The following is a 25,921-nucleotide window of genomic DNA, read 5'->3' as shown; positions in this document are numbered from 1 at the left end:
GGAGCAGGGAAGAGAACATACTGCACACATTCTGCTGCCACTCTTGTAGTCTGAACTTGACACAAATGACAAAATAACACATGATTTCCCTCACTTCTAAAATATTTCCACCAAAGTTTTGAATATTGATTTGTTCCTACCTTACCAAGCCCTCAGACTGAGAAAAGAAGAAATTAAGATGAGCCTTGCTGCTATTTTTTGTTTTAATCATTACACACAATGCTCCTCCCTCTCCCAGCCACCACGTGGCTAAACCCCCTTTGGCAATACAGGCAAAGACATAACTTTAGACGTTAACCTTGTTTTAAAATGTGCCTTTCGGCAAATAGATAAGTGAGAAGAGAGATCAGGATCTGGGGGTGTTAACGGCATAAAGTGAGATGCTCCTGAACTGAACGAGCAAGAAAAAATATTTTCTTGAAAGCAGTCCTCCAGAAAGAATTCTTATCATAGATAAGGGTGCAGTCTAGTGGCAAACTTCATGAAATGCAGCCCCTTCTCCAAAGGAAAGTTAGAATACTTCTCAAGGGAGGAAGCACAATGTAAAAGGTGTAACAGCCCACACCAAGTCCACCCAGCAGGGGCAGTGACATTGGTCATTTCTCTCTGACTTGCCTGTGAGGCTCATGGCTCACTCAGGTCAATTTCAGAAAAAGCTAAAACCACCACCTTCCTATTTCAAGGCCTTAGTTTTCTTTCATTTTATTAAAGAGGTTCTAGTGGCATGATTCGGTTCCTGGTCAGGACCTCTTCCAAGCAGGTCCTGTGGCCCTGTCAGCTCATATTCCTGGGATGTGCCTATAAGCACCAACTAACCTGTCAACCTATCACAAGGTCTCCTCCAGCTACTCTGCCACCCACTCCCTCCAGGGATGTGGCCCTGCCCAATAGAAATACCTCTGCAAAGTGACAGAGAGGGAAGTGTCACTCCAATCCACCTTTCTTCCCTCTAAGAACCCCACACACAAGGACACTTTAGGCCACCATGCAAGGTTTTCAGACTTAGCATTTCCTCCAAAGTGTCCATCTCTGCAACTCACTGCTCTCAATAATGCTGTTGTATGAATGTCCATTCCTGCAGATACACAACACACACACATACACACACACACACAGAGAGAGAGAAAGAGAGAGAGAACCTCCCTGGCCAACGCAGCTGAAGGCAACTGGTCACCTCTTCATCATGAGTACTGAAACCCCCTGATTAAATCCTCTTCTCCAGACTTTTAGGGGAGAAATTCAATTTTTTCTTCTTTTTTAAATTTAGCTCACCAGACATCACTGGCCATTCTACACTACCTGTCCCCCAAACACACACACACACACACCCCACATGGAAACAGACACCAGCATACAGTCAATTGCAGAAGCTTAGGAAGATTTCTTGGGCACGGTATATCCAGTTGGCTAATAAGAAAATACGTCTCCCTTCAGCCTGTGCCTTGACTACTTAAAGGATAGGAGGGAAGGGGAGACGAAGTTACTCTCCTCATTGTGTTCACCCTGCTCCGAAGAACTCTGTCTTCCACTGGCCCCTCCACCTCCTCCCCATTCTCGGTAGCCCCAGCCTGTCCCCCTTGCCCCTTTCTTACATTCCGGGGGGAGGAGGGCGCTGTTCAGAGGGGAGGAGGGCGCTGTTCAGGGAGCGAAGGGGAGCCCCCTTGTGTCTAGAAGGCCTCTCCCCACCCCCACCCCGTGTGAGTTTGTACTGCAAAGCTCCTTGGCATCCTTGCCTGAGTTGGGTGTTGGGAAGCTCAAATTGCAGCTACAAACTGGCTGGCAGCCAGGGGCCGGCTATTTAAAAGCGCCTGCTCTCCCGGAGCCCCGTAGTCTCTTTGGAAACTTCTGCAGGGGAAAAGAGCTAGGAAAGAGCTGCAAAGCAGTGTGGGCTTTTTCCCTTTTTTGCTCCTTTTCATTACCCCTCCTCCGTTTTCACCCTTCTCCGGACTTCGCGTAGAACCTGCGAATTTCGAAGAGGAGGTGGCAAAGTGGGAGAAAAGAGGTGTTAGGGTTTGGGGTTTTTTTGTTTTTGTTTTTGTTTTTTAATTTCTTGATTTCAACATTTTCTCCCACCCTCTCGGCTGCAGCCAACGCCTCTTACCTGTTCTGCGGCGCCGCGCACCGCTGGCAGCTGAGGGTTAGAAAGCGGGGTGTATTTTAGATTTTAAGCAAAAATTTTAAAGATAAATCCATTTTTCTCTCCCACCCCCAACGCCATCTCCACTGCATCCGATCTCATTATTTCGGTGGTTGCTTGGGGGTGAACAATTTTGTGGCTTTTTTTCCCCTATAATTCTGACCCGCTCAGGCTTGAGGGTTTCTCCGGCCTCCGCTCACTGCGTGCACCTGGCGCTGCCCTGCTTCCCCCAACCTGTTGCAAGGCTTTAATTCTTGCAACTGGGACCTGCTCGCAGGCACCCCAGCCCTCCACCTCTCTCTACATTTTTGCAAGTGTCTGGGGGAGGGCACCTGCTCTACCTGCCAGAAATTTTAAAACAAAAACAAAAACAAAAAAATCTCCGGGGGCCCTCTTGGCCCCTTTATCCCTGCACTCTCGCTCTCCTGCCCCACCCCGAGGTAAAGGGGGCGACTAAGAGAAGATGGTGTTGCTCACCGCGGTCCTCCTGCTGCTGGCCGCCTATGCGGGGCCGGCCCAGAGCCTGGGCTCCTTCGTGCACTGCGAGCCCTGCGACGAGAAAGCCCTCTCCATGTGCCCCCCCAGCCCCCTGGGCTGCGAGCTGGTCAAGGAGCCGGGCTGCGGCTGCTGCATGACCTGCGCCCTGGCCGAGGGGCAGTCGTGCGGCGTCTACACCGAGCGCTGCGCCCAGGGGCTGCGCTGCCTCCCCCGGCAGGACGAGGAGAAGCCGCTGCACGCCCTGCTGCACGGCCGCGGGGTTTGCCTCAACGAAAAGAGCTACCGCGAGCAAGTCAAGATCGGTGAGCGCGCTCAGTGTGCCAGTCAGTTACGCGGCGCACGGGCGGGGGACACGAGACCGGCTGGGCCCGCGCGCTTTGCGCAGCAAGTGGCTTCGAGCTGGGGTGCAGCTCGGGAGTAGTCGGGGAGGGTCCTTGCACCCCGGAATTGGAGCCCTGGAGGATCCTGCTACCCGGGGGAACTGTCTAGCCGAGTCTATCCCAGCTTTCGCTCTTTCTCCTTCCTCCTACCCACACGTTGCCCGCCCCCTCCCCCTACTCTGTCCGAATACTGATTCTGAGCTCTTATTCGGTCACAAGGTCCAAATCCCCTGGTACCCTATCTACAGTCTGAAAGAGTGTATGTTACATTATCAACTCCCTCCTCCACCCCCCTCGCGCCCCGCATAGGTTTTTTTCTGAACTTGGAAAAAAAATCTCTTTTGTTAAAATATTATTTTAATTGCGGCCTGGAGAGAGAGGCATTACCTATCTTCTGAGCTAATTCCACCTTTGTCCCTCTTGGCCCCTCCACCCCCGTGCCTCCAGACGTTTCTATCCCTCCACCCCTACACACACACCACAAACACCCCACATCCTTGGTAGCTAATGCCTTTCGGGTGGGAGCCCTGAAGCCCCTCCCATGTGCATAACCATTGCTTTTTATTGAAGATGATTGCCTGTGGTAGATGGTAAAACATATTTAACTGCAAAATGACTTTTATTTTATCCCAGGAAGGGAAAAAAATACTTTAGGAGTGCGGGGGTGCGGGGTGGGGGTGGGGAAGAGTAGAAAGGAAGGGTTTGGTATTCTGTGCCTGGTGTTCGTTTCTGAATCTAATTCCTTTTCCCCCTCTCCAATTCAGATTTTACCTAGGATGAAAGGTGGACATAGGGCTGGGAGGCAAAAGGGGATGTGAGATTCAGAGCTTTCAACTTCCTCGCCTATGCAGATTCCTGGCACCACCACCACCTCCACCCCCGCCCCGCAATTCCTCCCTCCGCAATCCCCCCACCCCGCCCTCCCCAATCTCTTAAACCAGATCACAAGTGGGTGTGGATTAAGTGCATGAGGGGCCCTGGAAACGCAGAATGCAAAATTCAGGGGGCGGAGACAGAAAAGCCACGCACTGGGAGCCTCGCCTCCGCTTGCCCCGCCCCCGGGTTGCGCCGCCCCCAAATTCTCGGCGCCAGGAGTCTAGGGTTGAAATGATTGACACAGCTACTTGTTCAATCAGAACAGTTCTACCCCCTTAGACTGAGTTTCTTTTTGGAAAGAGTTACCTGATCTTTAGTTAAAAAAAAAAAAAGTTAAATAAACTACATAAAAGTCTGGGTTCTAAGACGTCAAACTGGCTATTGATTCTCTCCAAAAGGGGTTAAAACTTGGCTAAACAATGTTTATTTGGCGTAGTTTAGTTACGGAGACAGTTTAGTTACGGGGGCAATCCCCTTCTCCCTCCCTGTCCCTTTCCGTTACTCACGAGCACCCTAACATGAGTTTTCTGAAGTGCAAATTTCAGTCACTATAGTGCAGGAGAGGAGTGCGTCCGCGCTTGCCAGGAGGCCGGAGAGCTTCCTGTGTTCAGCCTCAGTCCCCGCAAACCCTGCAGGGTTTGAGTGGCGCAGGGGCCAGCCCCTCTAGCTTTGCAAGAGGTAGTCGATCTCCAAACCTGCAAAAAGTCGATCTTTTTGCAGGTTGCAGCCTGCAAAAAGAGGAAAAGGGGAGGATGTGCAGGCTCTGGGAACCCCAGAGACCGGCTTGTGAGATTATTTTTATTAAGATCCACTTTTCAAAGGCGGTCCTGCCCGCCTTCATCTTGGGGGATGTGGATTTGGAAAAGCCTAGCGGAGAAGGAAAACATTAATTGATTTCCCGGCTTGGGAGCCACCGCCCTGGGTAACAATCCAGTCACACCGAAAGAACGTAAGGTGTCACTCAGCCGCATCCTGGCTCCACTTATTATTTACCAAGCGTGTAGTGTGATGTGGCTAGTGTGAAGGGTGTACACGCAGAGCGCACGCGCGCGCAATTGCTAGGCGAGCACGGAGGGCGCATCACACACACACACACACACACACACACACACACACACACACGACACTTCAGTCCCAAGCAAGATCCCCTGTAGAATTCCCTGCCGCCCCTTGCTCAACCCCCACCTTCTGAGTGCCTTTGGGCCAACCCGAAGCCGCCTCTTCTACCCGCCCCCTCCCCAGCACTCCTCTCCGACTCCACCCCGCCGAAGGCAGGTGCCCGGCCGGCTGCTGTTGCGGGTTGGCGGCGCTCCACCGCTGCTGGTGCCGACATCTTCTTCCCGAACAGATGGGATGGGAGTGGGCGCTCCTGGAAAGGGCGTTTTAGCCGGACAACCACTGGGCGGGTCCCCAAAAAGTTGGAGATGGTGTAGAGACCGTTCTTAAGGAGAGAGAAATGGACAGAGAGAGGGAGAGTGCCCTTTTGGTCCTTTAGCCAAAATTCCTGCTTCCCAACACACCTCCTACCTCCCTCCTCTCCCCCACCCCCGCCAAAATCTGAGCTTGCAGATATGGATTTGCCCCCTCCCTCCCGCAGTTGCAGCATACACACACACACACACACACACACACACACACACACACACACGACATATTATATCTATATAATTATATATTGTATATATGGTATATACTATATTATATATATTTATATGTAACCAAACATGTAGAACCCAAAAAAGGTGCATTTCTGGAATCAGAAATGGGGAGCAGAAGAGAGTGAGGTGGCAGGCAGCCAAAGCCTCTGGGAGGGAAAGGAGAGGGCGGAGGAGAGGGTGTTTTGCTAGGCTGTTGCTGAGCAACTGGAGAGGGAGTGGGCCCGAGAGCAGGGTGCTGAGAGCGAGCCTGGCTCTGCATTTCATTCTGGCCAGTTCAGGAGCAGAGATAGATACGGAAAAAAGAATGTGTGTGAGGCTGGAGGGAGATGAAAGACGGGAGTTATTTGATGGGCAAAGCTCAGTAAATAGCGGTGAGTGGAGGGAGTCAAGGAAGTACTGGGTTTGCTTTCGGGCATTTTTGGTGGGGAATGAGGTTTGATGGGCTGGTCCCCAGCATAGATACCGGGGTTCGGGTAGGTCTCCTCTGTGCTGGTGAGACATTCAGTTTAAGATGTAGGGAGCCGTGGGTTCTGGCTTTCGGTTCTGTCATTAAGAAATGAGACACCGTGGGACAAAAAATAGGCTTCTGGAAAAGAAAGCAAAAGCATTACCTAAATAAAAGTGAATTCAGCCTTTGCTTCTTTGAGGGGTTTGGCCTCCATCACCCTGGCTTCAACTCCAAGCCTGGTCTAAAATGCCATGTTGAAGTCGAGTTCCAGAGTTAGGTTTATTGGCCAAATTTATGTCTGGGTTGAGCAAGATCATGGAAAACTGAAGGAGCCAAATTCCTTTCCCACCCGCACCCCCTCCCTCTGAAACAAGTCTTTGAGAGGATGGCGTGCCCTGAGCCAACCAAAACGGGAGTTGGGAAAACGAGATGGGGCTTTAACTGGACTTTTCTCGCCACCTCCGCCCACCGCCCCCGCCCCCGCCCACCCCGCCCCCCCTCCCCCACCTTTCTGCTGTGTCAGCTCAGACTGGAAGAACAAGCAGAGTTAGCCCTAGTGAGAGCTCATATTCTTTCCATTTCTCTTTTTCCCCTTTCTCACCCCTCCCTCCTACTCTTCCCTCCGACCTTCTCCATCCACCCCCCGACCCCCCACCCCAACTCTAAGGCATCCCCTGAGGGCTTGAGTTTTAAGTCAGAGCAGCTGTGAGTTAGTCCCGGGGCTTGGGCTGGATTTGAGCAGGCAGGTGGGCCTGCAGCTGCAGAGGGTGGACCAGCCTGACCCTAGGAGCCAGAGGTCATCGTGAGGGTTACAGCAAAGGGCATGGGAGCAGGAATTCCCTGCAGAAGCCCTGGCCCCCTTAATGGAGCGAAGAAGCCAGCGGGAAGGGAAGGTAATACTTGTCTAAAGTTTCTACTTTGTACCTGAGCAATGCCTATGAAACTTTTAAGATATTTAGTGTGTGGAAAATAAAACTCTGGAGAAGAGATCACCACACTCCAGACCCACTACATCCAGAAACTGGAAGAAGATCATAAAGAGCAGGTACCAACCAGGGGCCAGAGCAGAAGGGAAGAGGGTGGGAGAATGGCTGCGTTGAGTCAAGCAGGCGATTTGGAGGGGTTTGTTTAGTTTTACATTTGCTTTTTCTCTACAGTTGGTCCAAAAGCTGCAATTCCCAGAGACTATCCTTAAATTGCAATCAGGACATGTTATTCAAAACAGTAAGACTGATTACACATTGATTACATACTTGCAAAAATAAATAATAAAATAAACAAGGATGGCAGTGTAGGCTTCTACTCCCCTCCCCCAATACCAGTGAAATCCCCCCCTTTTATTTCCAGTTTCATTTCTTTCCATAAATTCTGTTATGATGTCATTTCTCTCTCTCTCTCTCTTTTTAAAAAATATAAATCCAGAGGAGTGACTGAAAATCTCTGTGAGGAGGAGAGGTTATATTCCCACCTTGGCCACTATGCTGTTGGTTTAGAGCACCTAACCAGGTTAGTTAGTTAGTGCCTGGCCACTCAGCTTAGCTCAGTCCTAGTGTCTCTCCAGGAATTGTCTGGGTATTGGCCAAATAATGTTAAAGCTGGAAGGAACCCATAGCCATCATCACAGTCAAGGTCCTAGTTTTAGAATGAGGATACTGAGGCCCTGAGTGGGAAGTCACTTGCCCAAGATGTGGCAGCAGGGTTAGAGACAGACAAGGGGCTGGGACTCAGCTCTTTCCCGCAGGGGCTCCAGCACTGCATTCAGCCATTCCTGGCTTTCTCGCTAGTCACTGGGGCTCATGCCTGGACCTGGGCTAACCTGCAGTAAGGCCTTTGGCAAACACTGCCAGATGCTATCACTCCATGACATAAGAACCCATAATCTGAAGGCACTCTGTTTTAGGGGCAGTAGGAAAAGGAGTGAAGCGGCCCCAAAGTGGAGAGGGCCACACTCTCTTATTTTCACACTCACTTCTGTCCCTTTTTCTACACAGTCTTGCATACAAGCCTGGCTTAGGCTAGTGGTTTGGTCAGAGAAAGAGGACCAAGAGGGTGTGAAGGAGGGGTGTTCACCCCAGCTTTCAGGTCCATGCGCCAAACCTCATTTTCTACATGACAGGAAGCTCTCCTGATGTGGAGAGGCAGGCAGGCCTGGCTGCCTCTGAGCTGTGCAGCGGCCTGTAGTCTTGAAGAACATGGTGCAGAAGTGGCCCGCTTCCAACAGCACAGTCCTCACGTGGTGCCAACAGAAAGCAGAGATCGAGAGAGGGTGTGGTTGGATGGGGTGAGTGCAGTAACTAGGAAGTTCTGCATCCGAAGGAGAGAAGGAAAACCATATACCACCAAAGCTGATAAGGAAGAGAGCATGAGGGCCCCCTGGCTTTCTTTCATAGGCAGATGTGTCTCAGATCTTTCAGCAGGAGAGGAGAGATGTGCTTCCAGAGGGCAGCTGGGGACTTCTGGTTGTGCTGCAGGAAGTGCTGAGACCCATTCTAATACATCCTGGAGGCCGTGGCAGCTCCTCCTTCTGGGATGCTTAGGAAGGAGGCAGATAAGATAGGCCCCTTTTTCCGGTAAGTCAGACCTGCCAGGTGAACTATAGGAACATTTTAAACGAACTCAGTTATCTCATGTTTGATCCCTCAACCTAAACCATCAGGCCCCTTTCCCTGGCCTAAAATAAGGTCCCACTGAATCTGCACTCAGAGCCAGGCCTCAGATGACCTCTGCTGATTCTCTGAGTTGTTTAATGTGGGTTCCAGTTATCCCGAACTGGGACTGCGACACCCCTCTGTCACCTCAGCCAGGATGACTCTTCTTCCAGATCATTTAGAACAGCACTTCCAATTGAAACATAATACAAGCCATATTTGTCATTTTTAATTTTCTGGTAGCCACATCTTTTTTAAAAAGGTAAAAAAAACAGGGAAATTAATTGTAATAATACATTTTAACTGAATATATCCAAAATATCCTTTCACCACACGCTCAAAATAAAACAATTATAATGAGATATTTTACATTCTTTCCTTCATATTTAGCCTTTGAAATCCGGTGTTTTTTACACTTACAGCTCATCTCAATTCAGACACTAAATTTTCATTGGAAATACTTGATCTGTATTTAGATTTCATAAAATTTACAGTTGAAAAAGCAGAGTCACATACCTGAGGCATTCCAAACATACTTTAAAATCTTTCCAATAACTGAGTTGAGTATCTGTTTTTAAATTTAAACTAATTAAAATTAAATAAATATTAAATAAATTTTAAAATGTGGTTCCTCAGTTCCCCGGGCCACATTTCAGATGTTCCGTATGTATCTGCACATGGTTAATGGCTACCAGCAAACCCCTCTCTCACCTGAGAAGGCAACTGCTGTCCCCACTCTTTCCTTTTGCTCCCAAAGACTCAAAAAAGGGGAGTCTCAGCTTTCGTTGACAGACAGGGCTCCCTTGTTTGGTCCCTAGCAGAGCCTGGGCACCTTCTTCGGGGCCTCAGGAGAGAAGCGTAAACCCTACTTCCTCCCTGCCGCCCCCTTCTGGTCATGCAGAACTTTGGGGGGATGTGGCTGTGGCTGGCAATGTTCTGAACTGGCTGTGATGGGTCATGATGGGAAAGTGGCCAGGAGAAAAGCTGCCCAGTGCTTCCTCCAGAGGCTGCTCCCCACCTATCCCCCCACCATTACCTTCTCATTTGGGGAATGTATGAGGAACAGACAGACACTTCTACTAAGCATGCTCCCCCTTCCCCAACTCCAAAAGAAGCTTGGCTGGAGATTCTCAGCCAGGGACTTGTGCATCAGTGTGTATTTCCTATGTGTACAGTTATCGCCAGCTGCTTCCCAGGGACCAAGAAATGTGAACCAGAGTCACAACCCCAAATCCTAGTTTGGCATCAGAAAACAACAAGGAGCCTCTCTTTACCTCTGGTCCCTGGACAGTGGGGCAGATGTAAGGGGGACCTCAGCCCCTTACTCTGTGAGGTGTCACCTTCCCACCTGTGGCATCTACACTGTGGAGGGCGGTGGGCCCCCTTTTCTCTATATATCTTCAGGGAAGGAGGCTAAGTGCCCTTAACGCAGCATGAAGGAATGGGGTTAGGCAGAGGAAGGACTCCCAGGGGGAGCTCTCTAAGTGGAGACGGGTCCGGAGAGCACCTGTGCCAAGTCCTCACCTGGTGTTGGCCAACAGACCCCCAGAGACAAAGGTCGAGCCAACACTTTCTGGCAGACCTTCCTGCAGTCCAAGGAGCCTCAGATCTTGTGGTCTACAAGTAGGCGTCTGTCAACCAGGTGTCACAGCAACCAAATTTTTAGTTGATGATTCGAACTAGGGAGGTGGTAGGAAACAGCACTACAAAGGCAGAGACCTGTTCTGAGAGTGAATTAGCATGCATCACCCTGATTAATCCTCAGAATATAATGGAGAAGGGGCCATTGCCATCCTCCCCATAACACAGGTGAGAAAACTGAATTGGAAAGAGGAAGAAGAAAGTAAGGTCTTTGGGAGGCTGAGGTGGGTGGATCACGAGCTCAAGAGATCAAGACCATCCTGGGCGTGGTGCTGCATGCCTTTAGTCCCAGCTACTCAAGAGGCTGAGGCAGGAGAATCATTTGAACCTGGGAGGAGAGGGTTGCAGTGAGCCAAGATCATGCCACTGCACTCCAGCCTGGCGACAGAGTGAGACTCCGTCTCAAAAAAAAAAAAAAAAAAAGAAAGGTCAAAGTAAATCTGTACCAAGGTTTGTTTATTTATTTATTTTTAGAAACAAGGTCTCACTCTGTCACCCAGGCTGGAGTGCAGTGGCACAATCATGGCTCACTGCAGCCTCCAACTCCTGGGTTCAAGCCATCCTCCCTTCTCAGACTCCCCATTGCTAGGACTATAGGTGCACACTGCCACGCCCGGCTAATATTTCATTTTATGTAGAGATGGGGTCTTGCTGTGTTGCCAAAGCTGCATCAAGGTTTACTGAGCTATTGTCAACAGCTTCATCTTCCTCCCAGAAAGGACAGCTGAAGGTTTAGGGTGGCACAGTTTGCTGTACCTATTCAGTAGTGGAGCTGGGATTTGAACCCAGGTGGTCTGGTTCCTGATTCTGAATGGTTATCCACTATACTACATGGTGTCTGTATTTCTCTGGTAAGGATAGAGATATATTCCCAGCTTGGCCAGCTTTGCTGTTGGTTTAGAGTACCTAACCATGCTATTTCTCCCGGCCTAAAATGGGGTAGGGGGGCTCAGCTGGGTACACCTATAGCCCTCATCATCCAGTCAGTAGTTCTCTAAGTCTGCTCAACTCCCCTCCGGGGTCTTCCTCCTGGCTTTCCTCCATTCTTACAGCTGCTTTTTAGGATGACAGCTTTGGGTTTTTTTTTTTTCTTAAAAGGTTAGTGCTCATTTCCTCCTCAGCCCATAATTCAGGTTAAAAAGAACCCGGAACATGCATGCCTATTTCTGACGATCAAGTAAAAACAAAAACAAACAAACAAAAAACAAAAACAAAAAAAAATGTCTTCTGAGAGAGACTGGCGCCAGGCAGCTGCTGGTCAGAGATGGGATGGGTAGGAAAAGAAATGATGTTGCCACTTCCCTGGAAGTGTCCACAGCACCTTCCCCCTGCCACAACCACTGTGGCCTTTCTCCTTCTGCAAATGCACACACACAAGCGCAGAAAAGCCATTTGACATCCACAGCTGGGAAACAGACTTCAAGAGACTGAGACATGTCTTACATTTTTTCAAACAGTGAACAGCCAATCCCTCATGCTTCCACCAGCCTTGTGTTGTAGGGAGGGGCTGGTGGCTGCAAGTTGGCTAGGGACCTAGGGTTGGCAAGGGAGGAGGGGGACTGCAGAACATTCTAGACTGGGCCTCAGTATTTTCATCCATACCCAGGCACAAGTCAGTGCCGTCAGGCCAGCACTGACCAGGACTTTCTGCAATGATGGAAGCGTTGCAGGTCTGCAATGTCCATATGTGGCCACGAAGTCCTTGAAATATGGCTAGAGTGACTGAGGAGCTGAATTTTTCATTTTATTTAATATTTATTTAAATAGCCACATTGGCTAGTGGCTACCATATTAAATATATACTTTTTTTTTTTTTTTTGTCACACTATTGCCCAGGGGGGAATGTAGTGGCACGATCTTGGCTCACTGCAACCTCCGCCTCCCAGGTTCAAGTGATTCTCCTGCCTCAGCTTCCCGAGCAGCTGGGATTACAGGCACACACCACCATGCCTGGCTGATTTTTTATTTTTAGTAGAGACAGGGTTTTACCATGTTGGCCAGGCTGGTCTCGAACTCCTGACCTTGTGATCCAACCTCCTTGGCCTCCCAAAGTGCTGGGATTACAGGCGTGAGCCACCATGCCTGGCCTAAGTAGTACATTAATATATAGTAGCCTTAGGCCAAAGAGAAGCCCAGTGAATCCAGGAGCACCCCTGCTGTTTCTCACACCCATGACGCTCATCTGTCTGCTTCCCTGTGCCCTGCGGCAGGGTTATCTTGCTCCAGGGCAGGAGCATGGATGAGATAACCTCCCAAGGCATGCACTGGGCTCTAAGCCCCAGCTTATATTACAGAAATACTTCCAGACCTACTTCTCTTTGCCTCTTGGGCAGATTTACACATCTCTCCATTTAAAGGTTATTTATTGAATACTATATGCTGGTGAGACAAAGAGAAATGACAAAGCTCTGCCCGTAAGAAGTTGGCTGTTTAAATTCCACAGGGGGGACTAGAATGAAACCCAGAACAAATTCAGCTCCCTTTTTCATTCTTTGTAGAGAGATTCTAGGCGTCCTCATCTTATCTTCTGTCTAGAAAAGGAGATGGGAGAATCTCCCCAGGTCTGGGTGGCCTGGCAAAGCCCGACACTCTTCCTGGACTGTGAATTTCAAGGATGCCTCTGTTTCTTCGATTTTTGTAAGCTAAGGCACAATATCTGGGTCACCTAGTTTTCTCTTACAATTGATTATTAGGTCAAGTGAGATAGAGTGATAAACTAACACCAGCCCAGGAACAGGCTGTTAATAGCACCGGGGTGTGGCTAAGAGGTCCGGGGGCGGGGGGTTTAGATTTTAGGCAGGCAGGTCTCCTGGATCCATCCATTGCTGTGACCAGCAAGCAAGGTGGAGTCAGAACCCTTCAGACTCTACTGGAAGAGAACAGCCGTGGCAAAAGGGCAGGTTTGGAGAAAGTGGTTGAGCTTGGGCAGGGTACATGCGTTGTGCAATTGTGCAGCATGGAGTATTTCTCACCCTAAGATGCCTCTGGGTCTGTAGCAGCTGGGCTTGCATCATGACACTCTCTGTGTTTGCCAGGACATAGAGGATGGTGCAATCCTCAAACACGTGTTCATGTTACCATGGGGAGAGGCTGATGTACTGTGTGTGCCTCTGTGGATGCTGCTGCACTGGGGTGTATGGGGAACTCCTTATGAATGAAAGAGGACTGAGTTGGCCACCCAAATGTGGCAGGGGCCAGAGGCATTGGAGAGCCAGTGGGAAGGACTGGAGGTATTATATAGAAGCCAGAGATTTAGATCCCACCCCAAAGGTAAATACTGTATCCAGATAATATTATCATCATCCCCTCCCTTAGTCATTGAATAGGGTTATGAAGGTAAGGTCTGGCCTCCATAGATCCCAGCAGGAGAAATGGATGCTGAGCATTCCACATTTCCCATCCTCTGCAAAAACCTCTCAGAACAGCATCTCATGGGCGGGGAAGTCTGGAATATGTCTCTCTTCCTTCCTGGATCATTTTCCAGTTGGAGGTTACAGAAACAGCAGAATGCCATGCACAAACAAGCCCTGTTCCCCTCTCCCTCACCTGCCTTCACTCTCCCACACATGGGTTCTCTCCGGGCCTCGCTTGTTTGTCTCCCTGACTCTTTAAATATATCCTGCAGACACACAAACAGAAGGAAGGGATTTATTTGAATGATTATTGCAGAAGTAGGAGAGGGAGGCACCCAAATTCCAGATTTATTTTTTCTTTGAGACAGGGTCTCACTCTGTCCCCCAGGCTAGAGTGCAGTGGAGCTATCAAAGTGGAGCAATCATGGCTCACCTCAGCCTCAGCCTCAACCTCCAATCTCCAACCTCCTACCTCCAACCTCCCACCTTCCGGGCTCAAGCAATCCTCCGGTCTCAGCCTCCTGAGTTTCTCAGACTAGAGGCGCACGCCTCTATGCCCAGCTAATTTTTGTGTTTTTTTTGTAGAGACGGGGTTTCACTATGTTGTCCAGGCTGGTCTCGAACTCCTGGGCTCAGGCAATCCACTCACCTTGGCCTCCCAAAGTGCTGGGATTAGAGATATGAGCCACCGCTCTCAATTCCAAATTCCAGATTTTAAAAACACTTCCAGGCCGGGCTTGGTGGCTCACGCCTGTAATCCCAGCTCTTTGGGAGGCCAAGGCGGGCGGATCACGAGGTCAGGAGATCGAGACCATCCTGGCTAACACGGTGAAACCCCATCTCTACTAAAAATACAAAAAATTAGCCGGGCATGGTGGCGGGCGCCTGTAGTCCCAGCTACTCGGGAGGATGAGGCAGGAGAATGGCGTAAACCCAGGAGGCGGAGCTTACAGTGAGCCGAGATCGCGCCACTGCACTCCAGCCTGGGCGACAGAAGGAGACTCTGTCTCAAAAAAAAAAAACAAAAAACGCTTCCAGTCCCTAGAAGTGTGCCCATGCTGTGTGGGTGTCAGTCTCCCACGCCCTCTGCTGGCCACATGGAGATATTGACCTGTTTGTCAAACAGGTTCCAGAGCAGACTGTTGAGTTCTTTTGCTGTTCACGTGCAGAACAATCTTCACCAGGAAGTCCTCCCGGGTATCCTGCCTAGATCCCTTCTGCAACCTCAGTTCATTTTCTCTTGATGAAATAGCTCCAGAGTAGCCAGTCTACTTGTTCCTTCTTGTTTTATCTAAAACGCAAAGCCTTCCACAATTGAAAGCCTATTTATGACTCAGCCACAGAGCAGCTGAGTCGGGCTGGCTGCTTCTGGCACTCAGCTCCAGTCTTACTTTCCAGCCCTTTAATCTCCATGGCTCTGCCCTGGCTCCCCTCCAAGTTTCCGCTGTCTCTCTGGAGCCTACAGGTGACCACAAGACCCTGATTAGTATCTTCGACACTGGACTCTGCTGCTGCCTAAGGAATAGGTCCCATGGGGTTAAGTGGCACCAGAAACCAGGAGGCACATCAAAATGTTAAGCCTGCTCTTCAGAAGCAGCCAAAAAGCTTGCAAAGCTGGGGAAGGTGTGCCCTCAGGAGACTTGCCTTGGGGAGGCTGGGAAAAGGAGAGAGTTTGCAAAAGCATTTTGAGTTCCTTAAATGAAGAGAGATACAAGAATCTACATTTTGTATGCCAGTATCATGGTTGCTTGGCCCCGGGGCAGTACTTGAACACTTTCAAAGAAAAGAGTAAGAGAGGTCAAAATAAATTTACCCCAAGGTTTATCAAACCGTTGTCAACAGCCCCATCCCCCTCCCAGAAAGGGTGACTCAAGGTTAAGGACAGCCCACAGCACTTCTTAGAAAAAGTCCCAAAAGGTGAAAGGTCTTGAGAAGAGCTGTTGAGGGAAGGCTGTGGGCCACCATGCTTCTGTGTCCCCCAAGGCCAAAGAGAGAATAAGCTAAAATGACAGCTGGAAAAGGGCACCCTCTGACCAAATGGACAGAGCCTCCCCCAACAGGTAGCCAGAGGAGGATGGAATGGCACCCCCATTTCAGATGTCCTTAAGAACTAGAGAGATAGATGCTTATTTCTGCTTGGACACAGGGGGATGGACTAAATGGCCTACGGAAAGGATTCCAGGAACTGCTACACCAGCCACAGGAGAGAAGCCAGCTTCCCAGGCTGTCTCCCCTTGAAGAGGTGACAATGTGTTGGCTCTCCAGGCCAGGCTGGGGCAGCCCACTGAAGGAGACGCATAGACGCATGCGCTGGTCAGCAGCCAGCCCACTCCCCCACCTGCCCTCACTTTATCCAGTTACAATCTTGATTGAGGAAGGGGTCCAGGCTTCTCCAATCTGAACCCCCTCCAGGCTTTCAGTAGCCACCATATCCTGTCTGCCCCTCCCCCTACAGTAGTCAACTACTTTTTGAGGATTAAAATGCGTGGTGATGCTGAGGTTGAGTGGCACGGCTCCAGTCCCTCCATAAGACGTGCCCAAAAGCCCTTCTGTGCAATGGTTAGCACTCCCTCTCCCTACTCCCTCTTCTCCAAGATCTGAGCCTTGGCGTGAGGCCTGTGTTACTAGATAACGGAGCCCCAGCCTTTCAATTTGTACAAAGTCCCCAAACCAGCCATGCTTCTCCCTTCCTCCTGCCAATCTCACTTGCGCTACAACCAAGAAAAGTCAATTTACCCCAGAACATGACCCTTTTAACTAATCCCTAGAATCCTGCATTCCACCTACCAGAGATGTCACCCTATTGATGAGTCGTCACAGCAGGGTCTGATAGAGCAGAATCGAGGTACTGGGACATCAAGACATGACTGGGAAGAGGGGGTGAGAGTCCAGAAGGGGTACCAGGATTCTCAGGTTGAATTTTATTTAGGGAGAGCCCACCCACCACCTTGCTATTTGCTTTCCCCAAGTCATCATCTTCCTCTCCAGTAATTACGTCCCTTCCTTTCCTGTGAATAAATACCCAAAGCAACTCACCACCAGGAACGCTGCGAACCTTTGGAGGCTTCTTTAGGGCAGGGACCTTCTCTGCCAAGGCCTTAAAGACCAGATACCTATTTCATTAGACTTGACAAATCCTGAGCCAAGAGAGAAACAGATGCTTGGGTGCTTCCTGCCACCTGCCATCCTGCCCAGGTTAGGCCAGGTGTCCAAATGCCTTTCCTAACTCACACCTGGAACTTGCCCAGGGCTGCAAGCTCAGAAGTCAGGTTCTATACCTGCCCAGAGGCATAAAACAGCGTCTTCTCAAAAAAGCTTCTCTTTCCTTGCACCCCACCCCCACTTCCTGGAATTCTACCCACTTCTTCTGTTCCCCATCCCAGATGTCTGGCGGTCACTGTTCCTGGACATCCCAGTGATCATGGAGTAGATGGAGAACAGAATTTTCTTTCACCTCATTTCAGTTATTTAAGGTCACTCAAAGCTCTATTTTCTCTTTCCAGTATTTGAAAAAAGAGGGAGGCAATGAAGACAGGGCCCCCCACCTCCACTCACCCCTGCATCTGGTCCCACTGTGAGGCATCCTGGCCACACGCTGCCCGCCTGGAAACAACAATCTAAAGTTCCCCCATTCTGGTTCCTCTGAGGCTGGGGGAGGTCAAGGATCTGAGAGGAGAAGGGGACCCAGGGATGGATGCCTATGAGATCAGAATTTAGGGGAAAACTGCGCACCAAGAAAAGGCCGGACGGGTGGAATTAAGGATCAACAAATACATCAACAAAGTCTGACTTCTCTAAAGGTCAAAAGCCAGCTAAGTATAGACTGTCAGCAAGCCACTCCTATATATAACTGTCCCGGTCTCAGCCAGCTGTCGGCCTCTCTCAGTCCAGAGCTGAGTAACGTCCCAGCCTCCCAGGCCCCCGAGCACCGCGCCAGTTCTGAGCCAGAGCAGGAGCAAGGCCTCCGACTTCCACTTGGCCCCACGCCGGTCCCCTCCGGGCCTACATTTCTGGCTCTCCCCTCCCCTCCTCCTGCCGCTTATGAAGGTCCTCACCACCCTGCTGCTCCAGACCCCAGGACCCCCTCCTCCTAGGTTCCCCAGGTCCAAAGAGACCTCAACATCCAGCAGCTCTGAAAGTGCAAAGATCTCACTAACAGGACAGCCTTTGCCCTTCTCGTCCACGCCCTGACTGTGTCATCTGCCTCCATGGGCCCAGATTCCCGGGTTCCTACTTCTCAGCCCCACCTCCAGCCATGTCCCATCTACTTGGCCATCCCCCAGCAAGCAAACCGCTCGCTGCCACCTTCATCCTTGCAGAGGCCATTTTCCTTGCCCTTCCTCCTTACTGCCCCCAGAAGGCCTGCTCCGTCCTCACCCATCAGTCTGTCAGTCTCTCGATTCTCCTCCTCTGTGAAGCCTCCCTGCCTGCACTCTCTGCTTGACTCCAAGCATGCCAGAAACTTCCTGCCACTTAAATGAGCATTCCCTCTGCTTCCTGGTTCTTATCCCCCTGCTTTCAGGGTGTGCTCCAGGAGGGCAGAGACACATCTGCTTCAGCCTTTATTACTCCCCTCACCCCAAACTGCCCAGCCCTGGGCTCTGGCCGTGTGCACCTTGGCCCACGGGGGCTGACCCTCCGGCTCCTTCTCCTGCAGAGAGAGACTCCCGTGAGCACGAGGAGCCCACCACCTCTGAGATGGCCGAGGAGACCTACTCCCCCAAGATCTTCCGGCCCAAACACACCCGCATCTCCGAGCTGAAGGCTGAAGCAGTGAAGAAGGACCGCAGAAAGAAGCTGACCCAGTCCAAGTTTGTCGGGGGAGCCGAGAACACTGCCCACCCCCGGATCATCTCTGCACCTGAGATGAGACAGGAGTCTGAGCAGGTGCATCTCGGGGATTCCCTCATTCCCTCCCAGCTTTTGACCTTTTCCTGCATCTAAATGGACATTCATGGCGGCAGGAGGTGCTAGACTAGACCCAGCAGAGGACCTACAGCCCACCATGTGGCTCAGCTTAGGACGTGGGAGTAGAGTTTCCAGAGCATACACTTGTCAGGGCCAAGGGCTTGTGCAAGTAAGTGGGAATAGAGGCGGTGCTCATTTGAGGAGAGTGTGTGCCAGCCCAGCGGCCACGTACCAGGTACCTGGGCCCTGCAGCTGTGTCCAGTCCAAGGCAGAGACTGAATATTCTCCTAGAGCATCTAGAAATGGGCACCTCTGGACATTGTTACTCAGCAGAAGAGAAAAGCTGCAGGGGAGGGGGTGGACTGGAACACAAAAGAGAAAGTATGACTCCGTACCTGGCCAAAGGCAGGCTTTGTATGATCCCAGCGCACGTGACAGGTGACAGGGAGGAAAGATCTTTGGTAGCAGATGATTAGAACCAAAGGTGGTGACTTTCCTCCAGAGACCCTTCAGCCCCCACCCCCTGGGCCATTCGTCAGCGCAGCTGGGTGGTTTTCCCTTGGTCTCGCCACGCCTCTCACCCTCCTGTCCACACAGGGCCCCTGCCGCAGACACATGGAGGCTTCCCTGCAGGAGCTCAAAGCCAGCCCACGCATGGTGCCCCGTGCTGTGTACCTGCCCAATTGTGACCGCAAAGGATTCTACAAGAGAAAGCAGGTACGTCCCCTGCCCTGAGCTCCAGGCTCAGACTGCTCCAAAAATGGCACCTGCCAGGAAACTCCACCTTGGGCAAGTGCCTAAGGTTTCCACCGTTAACCACTTAGTGTTTCCTGGGCCTCAGATACCCATTCATATACCACGATCATGACTTTCCACATTCCCTACTATGCTGTAATCCATTTCCTCATTCTCTCCTATGCGGTAATCCACTATGCTTTCCACAGGTCGCCTTAGCTACATGAATTCCTTGCAAAAGGTAACTCTGTAACACTATCGCACAGCACGTATCATTGGTGCACCGCACACTCAGGAATTTAAACCATATTTTCTCTGTGAACCACCTGAAATCAGTTCATGTCCCTTCACAGCCAGGCTCTCCTTTGGGCAATGGTTCTTAGATTTCCAAGGGCATCCTATCCCTGGAGGGCATGGCTGATGGCTGGGCCCCACCCCTGCAGTTTCTGATTGGTAGACCTGGGGTGGACTCCGGGGTGGACACGTGACCCTGATGCTGCTTTAAGGGCACCAATAATCTAAATGTAAGAGCCAGGCCACACTGGGGCAAATCTTGGCTCTGCCACTTACTAGCTGTGTCCTGTTACTCACCATTTAATGTCTCTGTGCCTCCAGACCCTTGTGTAAAATGGTGAATGAGGAGTGAGTGATTGGTCTTTGTAAAGCACTTAGAACAGTACCTACTGCCTACCAAACGTTGAGTGGTGTCTACTACATGATAACACCACAAATCATGCCTCCTTCTGTTATTATTATTACCATCATCATTATTATTGGATCATAACTCTCTTGAGAATCCCTGCAGAGTTTCACGTTGGGGGAACTCAAATGGGTAATATTTAAAACGGGACTATAAGCCAGGCACAGTGGCTCACGCCTGTAATCCCAGCTACTCCAGAGGCTGAGGCAGGAAGATCACTTGGGCTCAGGAGTTTTAGACCAACCTGGGCAACATAACGGGACCCCATGTCTGAAAAAAAAAAAAGGAAAGAAAGGGATTGAAGGAGCTTGCCAAGGGTAGGCTGCCTAAATTCACATTTTCCCTGGGTCTTTCCGTGAAATGGGGACACCAGAAACCCAAGGGTCGGGTCTAGTGCCCTCAACTCTCTGGGGATGAGAGTCTTGCCTTGGGGTAGACAAGAGGCAGGGCAGGGAGGAGCAGAGCCCTGGGGTGCGGCCGTCCTCACCGCCTGTTGCTCTACTCACCCCAGTGCAAACCTTCCCGTGGCCGCAAACGTGGCATCTGCTGGTGCGTGGACAAGTACGGGATGAAGCTGCCAGGCATGGAGTACGTTGACGGGGACTTTCAGTGCCACACCTTCGACAGCAGCAACGTTGAGTGATGCGTCCCCCCCCAACCTTTCCCTCACCCCCTCCCACCCCCAGCCCCGACTCCAGCCAGCGCCTCCCTCCACCCCAGGACGCCACTCATTTCATCTCATTTAAGGGAAAAATATATATCTATCTATTTGAGGAAACTGAGGACCTCGGAATCTCTAGCAAGGGCTCAACTTCGAAAATGGCAACAACAGAGATGCAAAAAGCTAAAAAGACACCCCCCCCCTTTAAATGGTTTTCTTTTTGAGGCAAGTTGGATGAACAGAGAAGGGAAGAGAGGAAGAACGAGAGGAAGAGAAGGGAAGGAAGTGTTTGTGTAGAAGAGAGAGAAAGACGAATAGAGTTAGGAAAAGGAAGACAAGCAGGTGGGCAGGAAGGACATGCACCGAGACCAGGCAGGGGCCCAACTTTCACGTCCAGCCCTGGCCTGGGGTCGGGAGAGGTGGGCGCTAGAAGATGCAGCCCAGGATGTGGCAATCAATGACACTATTGGGGTTTCCCAGGATGGATTGGTCAGGGGGAGAAAGGAAAAGGCAAAACACTCCAGGACCTCTCCCGGATCTGTCTCCTCCTCTAGCCAGCAGTATGGACAGCTGGACCCCTGAACTTCCTCTCCTCTTACCTGGGCAGAGTGTTGTCTCTCCCCAAATTTATAAAAACTAAAATGCATTCCATTCCTCTGAAAGCAAAACAAATTCATAATTGAGTGATATTAAATAGAGAGGTTTTCGGAAGCAGATCTGTGAATATGAAATACATGTGCATATTTCATTCCCCAGGCAGACATTTTTTAGAAATCAATACATGCCCCAATATTGGAAAGACTTGTTCTTCCACGGTGACTACAGTACATGCTGAAGCGTGCCGTTTCAGCCCTCATTTAATTCAATTTGTAAGTAGCGCAGCAGCCTCTGTGGGGGAGGATAGGCTGAAAAAAAAAAGTGGGCTCGTATTTATCTACAGGACTCCATATAGTCATATATAGGCATATAAATCTATTCTTTTTCTTTGTTTTTTTCTTTCTTCCTTTCTTTCAAAGGTTTGCATTAACTTTTCAAAGTAGTTCCTATAGGGGCATTGAGGAGCTTCCTCATTCTGGGAAAACTGAGAAAACCCATATTCTCCTAATACAACCCGTAATAGCATTTTTGCCTGCCTCGAGGCAGAGTTTCCCGTGAGCAATAAACTCAGCTTTTTTGTGGGGCACAGTACTGGATTTGACAGTGATTCCCCACGTGTGTTCATCTGCACCCACCGAGCCAGGCAGAGGCCAGCCCTCCGTGGTGCACACAGCACGCGCCTCAGTCCATCCCATTTTAGTCTTTAAACCCTCAGGAAGTCACAGTCTCCGGACACCACACCACATGAGCCCAACAGGTCCACGATGGATCCACCAGTCCCACCCCAGCCTTTTCCTTTCATCTGAACAGAATGTGCATTTTTGGAAGCCTCCCTCACTCTCCATGCTGGCAGAGCAGGAGGGAGACTGAAGTAAGAGATGGCAGAGGGAGATGGTGGCAAAAAGGTTTAGATGCAGGAGAACAGTAAGATGGATGGTTCCGGCCAGAGTCGATGTGGGGAGGAACAGAGGGCTGAAGGGAGAGGGGGCTGACTGTTCCATTCTAGCTTTGGCACAAAGCAGCAGAAAGGGGGAAAAGCCAATAGAAATTTCCTTAGCTTCCCCACCATATGTATTTTCTAGGATTTGAGAGGAAAGAGAGGAAAATGGGGGAATGGGTTGCAAAATAGAAATGAGCTTAATCCAGGCCGCAGAGCCAGGGAAGGTGAGTAACTTTAGGAGGGTGCTAGACTTTAGAAGCCAGATAGGAAGAATCAGTCTAAACTGGCCATGCTTTGGAAGGGACAAGACTATGTGCTCCGCTGCCCACCTTCAGCCTGCAATGAGGGACTGAGGCCCACGAGTCTTTCCAGCTCTTCCTCCATTCTGGCCAGTCCCTGCATCCTCCCTGGGGTGGAGGATGGAAGGAAAGCTGGGACAAGCAGGGAACGCATGATTCAGGGATGCTGTCACTCGGCAGCCAGATTCCGAAACTCCCATTCTCCAATGACTTCCTCAACCAATGGGTGGCCTTGTGACTGTTCTTTAAGGCTGAAGATATCCAGGAAAGGGGGCTTGGACACTGGCCAAGGAGACCCCTTCGTGCTGTGGACACAGCTCTCTTCACTCTTTGCTCATGGCATGACACAGCGGAGACCGCCTCCAACAACGAATTTGGGGCTACGAAGAGGAATAGCGAAAAAGCAAATCTGTTTCAACTGATGGGAACCCTATAGCTATAGAACTTGGGGGCTATCTCCTATGCCCCTGGACAGGACAGTTGGCTGGGGACAGGAGAAGTGCTCAATCTTCATGAGACAAAGGGGCCCGATAGGGCCAGCAGCCACAAGGCCTTGACCTGCCGAGTCAGCATGCCCCATCTCTCTGCACAGCTGTCCCCTAAACCCAACTCACGTTTCTGTATGTCTTAGGCCAGTATCCCAAACCTCTTCCACGTCACTGTTCTTTCCACCCATTCTCCCTTTGCATCTTGAGCAGTTATCCAACTAGGATCTGCCAAGTGGATACTGGGGTGCCACTCCCCTGAGAAAAGACTGAGCCAGGAACTACAAGCTCCCCCCACATTCCTCCCAGCCTGGACCTAATTCTTGAGAGGGGCTCTCTCTTCACGGACTGTGTCTGGACTTTGAGCAGGCTTCTGCCCCTTGCGTTGGCTCTTTGCTGCCAGCCATCAGGTGGGGGATTAGAGCCTGGTGTAAGTGCGCCAGACTCTTCCGGTTTCCAAAGTTCGTGCCTGCGAACCCAAACCTGTGAGTCTCTTCTGCATGCAGGAGTTTCTCCTGGGCAGCTGGTCACTCCCCAGAGAAGCTGGGCCTTCATGGACACATGGAACTAAGCCTCCCAAATGGGAGTTCTGGCTGAGCCCAGGGTGGGGAGATCCTGGGAAGGGAGGCACTGGAGGAAGACGGCACCTCTTCCCCCATGGCAGGGTGTGAGGGAGGCAGGTTTGGAATGGTGCGAGTATGGCAATCTAAGCAGGGGTCTGGTCTCTTTGACTCCAGGCTGGCCTTTGGCCGACTGTCTGCTCACCCAGAGACCTTGGACTCCGGACTATCCATGGCTCCGAATCTAAGTGCTGCCCACTCCCATGCTCACACCCACAGAAGGTCTTCCCATCCCCTTTAGATTCGTGCCTCACTCCACCAGTGAGGAAGATGCCTCTGTCTTTCCCACGACTGCCAGGAGATAGGGAAGCCCAGCCAGGACTGACCCTCCTTCCTCCAGCCTGCCCTGACCCACCTGGCAAAGCAGGGCACATGGGGAGGAAGAGACTGGAACCTTTCTTTGACAGCCAGGCCTAGACAGACAGGCCTGGGGACACTGGCCCCATGAGGGGAGGAAGGCAGGCGCACGAGGTCCAGGGAGGCCCTTTTCTGATCATGCCCCTTCTCTCCCACCCCATCTCCCCACCACCACCTCTGTGGCCTCCATGGTACCCCCACAGGGCTGGCCTCCCCTAGAGGGTGGGCCTCAACCACCTGCTCCCGCCACGCACCGGTTAGTGAGACAGGGCTGCCACGGCAACCGCCAAGCCCCCCTCAAGGTGGGACAGTACCCCGGACCCATCCACTCACTCCTGAGAGGGCTCCGGCCCAGAATGGGAACCTCAGAGAAGAGCTCTAAGGAGAAGAAACCCCATAGCGTCAGAGAGGATATGTCTGGCTTCCAAGAGAAAGGAGGCTCCGTTTTGCAAAGTGGAGGAGGGACGAGGGACAGGGGTTTCACCAGCCAGCAACCTGGGCCTTGTACTGTCTGTGTTTTTAAAACCACTAAAGTGCAAGAATTACATTGCACTGTTTCTCCACTTTTTATTTTCTCTTAGGCTTTTGTTTCTATTTCAAACATACTTTCTTGGTTTTCTAATGGAGTATATAGTTTAGTCATTTCACAGACTCTGGCCTCCTCTCCTGAAATCCTTTTGGATGGGGAAAGGGAAGGTGGGGAGGGTCCGAGGGGAAGGGGACCCCAGCTTCCCTGTGCCCGCTCACCCCACTCCACCAGTCCCCGGTCGCCAGCCGGAGTCTCCTCTCTACCGCCACTGTCACACCGTAGCCCACATGGATAGCACAGTTGTCAGACAAGATTCCTTCAGATTCCGAGTTGCCTACCGGTTGTTTTCGTTGTTGTTGTTGTTGTTTTTCTTTTTCTTTTTTTTTTTGAAGACAGCAATAACCACAGTACATATTACTGTAGTTCTCTATAGTTTTACATACATTCATACCATAACTCTGTTCTCTCCTCTTTTTTGTTTTCAACTTTAAAAACAAAAATAAACGATGATAATCTTTACTGGTGAAAAGGATGGAAAAATAAATCAACAAATGCAACCAGTTTGTGAGAAAAAAAAAAAAAAGCCGAAAAAAAAAAAAAAAACACCTGAATGCGGAAGAGCTCGGCTCCCGTTTAGCATTTTGTACTTAAGGAAATAAAAAACCAACAAAGGATCTCACATTTTCTTAAAAAGTGAAGATTGCTGTATACTATTTATTCAACTTATAATTTATGTTACTCCTTGATCTTTGTCTTTTGTCATGACAAAGCATTTATTTAATAAAGTTATGCATTCAGTTAGCCTGCGTCGGCTTCCTCCGAGGGCTCAGGGAAGGCAGGCAGAGGGAGAGGCAAGTCCCTGATTCTCCTCAGGCCACAGCCGAGAGGGGATGGAGAAAGGCCCCCGGTGGGATCAGGGCTGAGCGGCCACATGGTCCAGAGAGAACCCCTCATCCCCCAAGACAAGCACTCCCACTGGAGCTCCAGCGGCCCCTTCCCCATCTGTTGGAAAGCCACCACAGTCGTGGAACCCAAGGCAACCTACATAACCTCCTCAGGCCTCCATTTCCTTGTGGGTAAAACCTCATGGAGCTGCTGTGAGGATTCAACCAGTTAATGTCCCCAAAGCCCTGAGAACTGGGAATATTCAGCACCTGTTCCCCTACTGTTCTATTAATGATTATTACCATCTTTTCATCTCAGCCCTTGCTATGAAGTAAAGTGGCCTTCATCCACCCTTAGACAAATGAGAAGTTTCTGCTCCTTGGAGAAGATTTTAAGGAAGCCATTTCTAGAATGTTCCTTATTCCCTCCTCCCACTGCCTTGTAAGCTCATAACTCCTGGGAACCTCTGGCCAAGATAAAGTCTCCCTCTGGTTCCTACCCAACCTCCACCGCTGTCTGTGCCCAGTGAAGAGGAAAACCCAAGATGGCACCCCTGATGTCAACCC

General features: G+C 50.6%; 1 protein-coding gene and 2 long non-coding RNA genes across 4 annotated transcripts in view; 2 read left to right on the top strand and 1 right to left on the bottom strand.

Moving 5' to 3' along the window:
- Positions 1-2,930, bottom strand: part of IGFBP-AS1 (IGFBP5 antisense RNA 1) — a 116,628-nt gene extending 113,698 nt beyond the window's left edge. For both annotated transcript variants that reach the window (NR_187138.1, NR_187139.1), the window contains exon 1: positions 2,615-2,930. This is a non-coding gene — a long non-coding RNA (IGFBP5 antisense RNA 1). The remainder of the gene's footprint in view (positions 1-2,614) is intronic.
- On the top strand, positions 1,827-25,271 carry IGFBP5 (insulin like growth factor binding protein 5). Its single transcript, NM_000599.4, has 4 exons — positions 1,827-2,937; positions 18,297-18,526; positions 19,145-19,264; positions 20,494-25,271. The coding sequence occupies exons 1-4, from the start codon at positions 2,601-2,603 to the stop codon at positions 20,623-20,625; spliced, it is 819 nt and encodes a 272-aa protein (NP_000590.1). The 5' UTR covers positions 1,827-2,600; the 3' UTR covers positions 20,626-25,271.
- LOC124900515 (uncharacterized) lies at positions 5,812-16,137 on the top strand. The gene is made up of 2 exons (XR_007088080.1): positions 5,812-5,920; positions 6,949-16,137. It is a non-coding gene; the product is annotated as an uncharacterized LOC124900515 (long non-coding RNA).
- Positions 25,272-25,921: the final 650 nt, after the last annotated feature.

This window comes from Homo sapiens, chromosome 2 (genome assembly GCF_000001405.40).
Source record: "Homo sapiens chromosome 2, GRCh38.p14 Primary Assembly".
Taxonomy (NCBI): domain Eukaryota; kingdom Metazoa; phylum Chordata; class Mammalia; order Primates; family Hominidae; genus Homo; species Homo sapiens.
The sequence above is the reverse complement of the archived record's forward strand: the minus strand, read 5'-3'. Positions and strand labels throughout refer to the sequence as shown.